We start from the raw sequence: 6,705 nt of genomic DNA, 5'->3' as shown, positions 1-6,705 counted from the left end.
TATCTGGTAATCATTTTGTGAGAGAAGTCTAACTTTCACAAAGGCAGGTTATTGATAGACAAGCAAACTCTGCCCTGTCTTCCTTCCCCTGCTGAGAGGGAAAAGCAAACCCCAAACTGATATGCTTCCACGTACAATTCATTTCAATATTCCTTTACTTCATATACATTTGTGCCTTTTGACTTCCATTTTTAAACTGGTATAACATCTTCTCAAATAAATTATGTATTATGAGTTAAATAAAATTTTTAGCATGTGTTTATTTTTGTCTCATGGTTTAAGCTTTTTTTTTGAAAATTATAACTCTAGTTATATGTTTTCAGATAGCATTGTGCTTCTGAGACTATCCGTTGTTGCTATATGTAAATCTAAATCTTCAATTTTTGGCTGCTAGGTAGGATTTCATATAATGTAGGGGCAGTATTGGATTTCATTTTTCTGTTCCCCCTAGTGATGGGAACCTAAGTTGCTTCAACTCTTTACTACCACAAAACAACACAAGCATACAAACAGAAAAACAAGCAAACAAAATACCTCAAAATAAACACTTCCATTCATGCTCTTGAAGGAGCCATATAAGAATTTTTTAAACTACATGTTAAGTTGGCATTAAGCCAAATAGAAAATAGGAACAAAATAGAGGGTTTAGGAACATACCCACACATAGACAGTCACTTGACTGCCACTAAAGGGCCTCTGCAATTTAGTGTGGAAAAGATGTTGTTTCTATCAAAGGGTAATGATCAGTTGGATACCCACCCAGAAAACAAAATAGGTTTTTAACTCTTTCACACTGCACATGAAATTAATTGAAAATGCATCATAGACCTAAATATAAAAGGTGAAAACAATATAGTTTCTGGAAGAAAATGTAGAAAAAATGACCTTGGAGAAGTCAAATATTTTCTAAACAGGACGTAAAAAATAGTATGCATAACAGAGCATAAGTCAGGGATGGAACATTGAGCATGGGATAGCCACATATTTATGCCACAGAGGCTCCAGATTGTTCTCCAGAATGTTGGGTCATGTTGCATTCCCCCCAGCAGGGCTCAAGGATCCCCCTTTCCTCCACTCTCACCAACTCCTAGTGTCATCCACCTTCCATGTGCTCACCATTCAGATGAGTTCAAAGTGACAGTTCCATGTTTTAAAATTAGTATTTCTCTAACTAACACGATCAAACATCTGTTTATGAGTTTCTTGGGCATATAGTTTTTTACTGCAATGTATAACCTATTTCTAACCATTTTCTATTTGGCTTCCTTCCTTCCGCTTGTTGATTTTTAATCAGCCCTTGGTTAGTTTAGATGTTGAAATTATTTGTATAAATTCACAGGATACAAATGCAATTTCATTACATGCACGAATTGCAAAGTGTCCAAGTAAGGGTTTTTAGGGTATCCATCACCTGAATGATGTACATTATACCATTAAGCAATTTATCATCATCCACCCCACCCCCATCCCCTCACTCTTCTGAGTCTCTATTGTCTATTATTCTACTCTCTATGTTCATGTGTACAAATATTTTAGCTTCAGCTTATGAGTGAAAGTATGCACTATTTGTCTTTCTGTGTCTGACTTGTTCCACTTAAGCTAATGGCTTCCAGTTCCATCCATGTTGCTGCAAAAGACATGATTTCATTATTTTTATGGCTGAATAGTATTCCATTGTGTATATATATCATACTTTATTTATCCAGCCATCTGTTGATGGACACTTTGGTTGATTCCATATCTTTGCTATTGTGAAGAGTGCAGATAAACACACAAGTGCAGGTATCCTTTTGATATATTGATTTATTTTTCTTTTGTTAGGTATACAGTTGGGATTGCTGGATCAAATGATAGTTCTATTTTTAATTCTTTGAGAAATTTATTTTTTGTTAGTAGCTGTTCTAACTTACATTCCCACCTGCGGTGTATAAGAGTTCCATTTTATCTGCATCCTTGCCAACATCTGTTCTTTTCTGACTTTTTAACAATGGCCATTCTGATTGGTATAAAATGTCTGTTGATGTCCTTTGCCCACATTTTAATGAGATTATTTGGGTTTAATGGGTTTTTTTGGTTGTTGAATTGCTTGAGTTCCTTGTATATTCTTGATATTAGTCCCTTGTTGGAGGTACAGTTTGCACATATTTTCTCCCATTCTAAAGTGTTGTTCATCTTTTTTTTTTCTGTGCAGAAGCTTTTAAGTCTCATTTGTCTATTTTTGTTTTTGTTGTCTCTGTTTTTGAGGTCTTAGTCATAAATTCTTTGCCTAAACTAATGTCCAGAAGAGTTTTCCCTAGGTTTTCTTCTGTTATTTTTATAATGTTAGGTCTTATGTTTAAGTTTTTAATCCATCTTGAGTTATTTTTGTATATGGTGAAAGATGGGGGACCAGTTTCATTCTTTTGCATAGGGACATTCAATTTTCCCAGCACCATTTATTTAGAAGGGTGTCCTTTCCCCAATGTATGTTCATGTCAACTTTGTCAAAAATGAATTGGCCACAAATAAGTGGCTTTATTTCCAAGTTCTCTATTCTGTTCCACTGATCTACATGTCTATTTTTATACCAGTGCCAAACTGTTTTGGTTACTATTGTTATATTAGTGTTGTAATATAATTGGAAGTCAGGTAACACCATGCCTCCAGCTTTGTTCTTTTTGCTTAGAATTGTTTTGGCTATTTGGGTTCTTTTTGGTTTCCATGTGAATTTTAGGATTATGTTTTTCTAATTCTGTGAAAAATAATATTGATATTTTGATAAGGATTGCATTGAATCTGTAGACTGCTTTGGGCAGTATGGTCATTTTATTTATTTATTTATATATATATATATATATTTATTTATTTATTTATTTAGAGATGGAGTCTCACTCTGTCACCCAGATTGGAGTGCAGTGGCGTGATCTCAGCTCACTGCAACCTCTGCCTCCCAGGTTCAAGCAATTCCCCTGTCTCAGCCTCCCAAGTAGCTGGGATTACAGGCACACGCCACCATGCCTGGCTAATTTTTGTATTTTTAGTAGAGACAGGGTTTCACCATATCGGTCAGGCTGGTCTCAAATTCATGACCTCAGGTGATCCACCCACCTCGGTCTCCAAAAGTACCGGGATTAAAGGCATGAGCCACCACGCCCAGCCTATTTATTTTTATTTTTAATAGTAATCCTATTAACTGAAGTATGGTCATTGTAATGATACTAATTTTTTTGATCCATGAGCATGAAATGTTTTTCCATTTGTTTTTGTTATCTATAATTTCTTTCATCAGTGTTTTGTAGATCTTTCACCTCCTTGGTTAAATCTATTCCTACATATTTAAATTTGTTTGAAACTATTGTATATGGGATTGCCTTCTTTATTTTATTCTCAGCTATATCATTATTGGTGTATAGAAACACTACTGATTTTTGTACATTTATTTTGCATCCTGCAACTTTACTAAACTCATTTATCAAATCTGAGAGTTTTGTGGTGAAGTCTTTAGGCTTTTCCAGATATAAGATCATGTGATCAGCTAAGAGTAGTAATTTGACTCCCTCCTTTCCAATTTGGATGTCTTTTATTTCTTTATCTTACCCAATTGCTCTGGTCAGGACTTCCAGTACTATGTTGAACAGGACTGGTGAAAGTAGGCATCCTTGTCTTGTTCCAGGTCTTAGAGGAAATGCTTTCAACTTTTCCCCATTCAGTCTGTTGGCTGTGAGTTTGTCATATATGGCTCTTGTTATTTTGAGGTATGTTCCTTTGATGCCTAGTTTGTTGAGGGTTTTTAATTGTGAAGGGATGCTGAATTTTTGAATGCTTTTTCTGTGTCTATTGAGATGATAATACATTTTTTGTCCTTAATTCTGTTTATGTGCTATATCACATTTATTGCTTTGCATTGTGGAACCATCCTTGCATTCCTAGTATAAAACACATTTAATCATCGTGTACTTTTTTTTGATGTACTGTTGGTTTTTGTTTGCTAGTGTTTTGTTGAGAAATTTTGTGTCTATGTTTATCAGGAATATTAGTATGTAGACTTCTTTTCTTTGTTGTGTCCTTTTCTGGTTTTGGTATCAGGGATCTATTGGCCTTGTAGAATGAGTTATGAAGAATTCTCTCCTCATTGATTTTTTTGGAAGATGTCTTTTTGAGGAGGATTAGTAGAATTCAGCTATGAATCTATCCGGTCCTGAGCTTTTCTTATTTTTTCTTTTATTCTTTTTTTTTTTTTTTTTTTTTTTTCCTGAGATGGAGTTTCGCTCTTTTTGCCCAGGCTGGAGTGCAATGGCAAGATCTCTGTTAGGTAGAAACCTAACAGGTTTCACTTGTTTCTAAAAGTTTTTAAATTTCTAACTTAATTTCTTCATTGGTCCAGTGATTTTTTTTGGGAGTGTGTTAATTTCCATGTATTTGTATAGTTTCCAAAGTTCTTCTTGGTATTGATTTCTAGTTTTATTCCACTGCAATCCTAGAAGATACTTTATATAATTTCTATTTTAAAAAACTTATTCCACTGTGATGTGGAATAAATTTTGATGATCATAGAAGATATTTCATATGATTTCTATTTTTAAAAATTTGTTGAGACTTATTTTGTAGCCTACTATATGGTCTATCTTGGAGAAGTTTCCAAGGGCTGCTGAAAGAATGTATATTCTGCAATTGTTGGGTAGAATGTTCTCTAGATGTCTGTTGATTTGTTCTAACGTCCAATTATGTCCAATGTTTCTTTGTTGATTTTAGATCATTTTGTAGATAAACTGTTTAATACCGTGAGTGGGGTGTTGAAGGCCTTCATTATTATTGTATTGCTGTCTATCTCTTTAGGTCTAATATTATTTGTTTTATGAATCTAGGTGCTCCAGTGTTGGGTACATATATATTCAGAATTGTTTTATCCTCTTGCTGAATCAATCCTTTTATCAGTATATAATAACCTTATTTGTCTTTTTATGTTGTTTTTCATTTAAAGTCTGTTTTATACTACATAAGTATAGCTACTCCTGATCACTTTTGGTTTCCATTTGCATGGAATATCTTTTTCCACACTTTGCTTTCAGTCTGTATATGTCTTTATAGATAATGTGAGTTTCTTGTAAGCAGCATATAGTCGAATCATGTTTAAAAAAATTAATTCAGCCAATCTATATCATTTAAGTGGAGCATTTAATGCATTTACATTTAAAGTTAATATTGATATGTGGGGTTTTGTTTCTCTCATATTGCTAATTATTTTCTAGTTGTTCTATCAAGTCTTTGTTTTTTTCTTTTTCTCTCATTGTTTGTCTTTGTGGTTTGGTGAAATTTTGCAGTAGTGTCATTTGATTCTTTTCTCTACCTTCTTTGTGTAATTGCTTTACTAGTGAGTTTTATACTTTCATGTGTTTTCATGATGGTTAATATCAGCTTTTCACTTCCAAGTTTAGGACTCCTTTGAGTATTTCATGTAGGACTGCTCTGGTGGTGATGAAGTCCCTCAGCATTTGCTTGGATGGGAAAGACTTTATTTCTCCTTCATTTACAAAGCTTAATCTAGCTGTATGTAGAATTCTTGGCTACCAGTTTTTTAAAAATTTCTATCAGCACTTTGAGTATGTCATCCCATTTTCTTCTGGCCAGGAAGGTTTCTGCTGAGAAGTCCACTGTTAGACTGATGGGGGTTCTTCTATAAATGGTTAGACATCTTTTCTCTTACTGATTTTAGATTTTTTTCTTTCACTTTGACTTTAGACAGTTTGCTTTTAATATGCTGTGGCAAACTTTTTACATTGTATTTGCCTGGGGATTGTTGAGCCTCCTCTAAATAGATGTCTAAATCTTTTGCTAGACTTGAAAAGTTTTCATCTATTATTTCATTAGATAGTTTTATTAAGCTTTTGGATCTCTCTTCATCCCTGGGAATACTGATAATTTGTAAGTTTTGTCACCTTATGTAGTCCCAAATGTCTCAAAGGCTTTATTCATTTTGTTTCTTTATTTGTGTCTGACTGGATTATTTCAAAATACCTGCCTTCAAGTTCAGAAATTCTTTCTTCTGCCTGGCATAGTCTATTATTGAAGATTTTGAATGTATTTTGTATTCCTTTCAATGAATTTTTTAGTTTTAGAGTTTCTGGTTTTTTTTAAGGTAGATATTTATGCTTTGGTAAATTTCTCATTCATATCCTGAATTAATTTTCTGAGTGCTTTGCATTTATTTTGATTTCTTTTGCATCTCTTGCATCTTGAGTTTCCTTAAAATCAATATTTTGTTTCGTGTTTTAAATTTAAATTAAATTTCAGTAGTTTTGGGGGAACAGGTGATTTTTGGTTACATGGATACGTTCTTTAGTGGTAATTTCTGAGATTTTGGTGCACCTGTCATCTGAGCAGTGTATACTGTATCCAATGTATAGTCTTTTATCCTTCACACCCTTTCATCCTTCCCCCTGAGCCCCCAAAGTCCATTATATCATCCTTATGTCTTTGTGTCCTCATAGCTTAGCTCCAACTTATAAGTGAGAATATACAACATTTGGTTTTCCATTCCTGAGTTACTTCAGTTAGAATAATGGTCTCCGAATTCATCCAGGTGAGTCTGCAAATGACCTTATTTCATTCCTTTTTATGGCTGAATAGTATTCCATTGTGTATATATACCACATTTTCTTTATCCATTTGTTGGTTGATGGGCAATTAGGCTGGTTCCATATTTTTGCAATTGTGAATTGTGCTGCT

This window comes from Homo sapiens, chromosome 6, assembly GCF_000001405.40.
Source record: "Homo sapiens chromosome 6, GRCh38.p14 Primary Assembly".
In the NCBI taxonomy this organism is placed as follows: domain Eukaryota; kingdom Metazoa; phylum Chordata; class Mammalia; order Primates; family Hominidae; genus Homo; species Homo sapiens.
The sequence above is the reverse complement of the archived record's forward strand: the minus strand, read 5'-3'. Positions refer to the sequence as shown.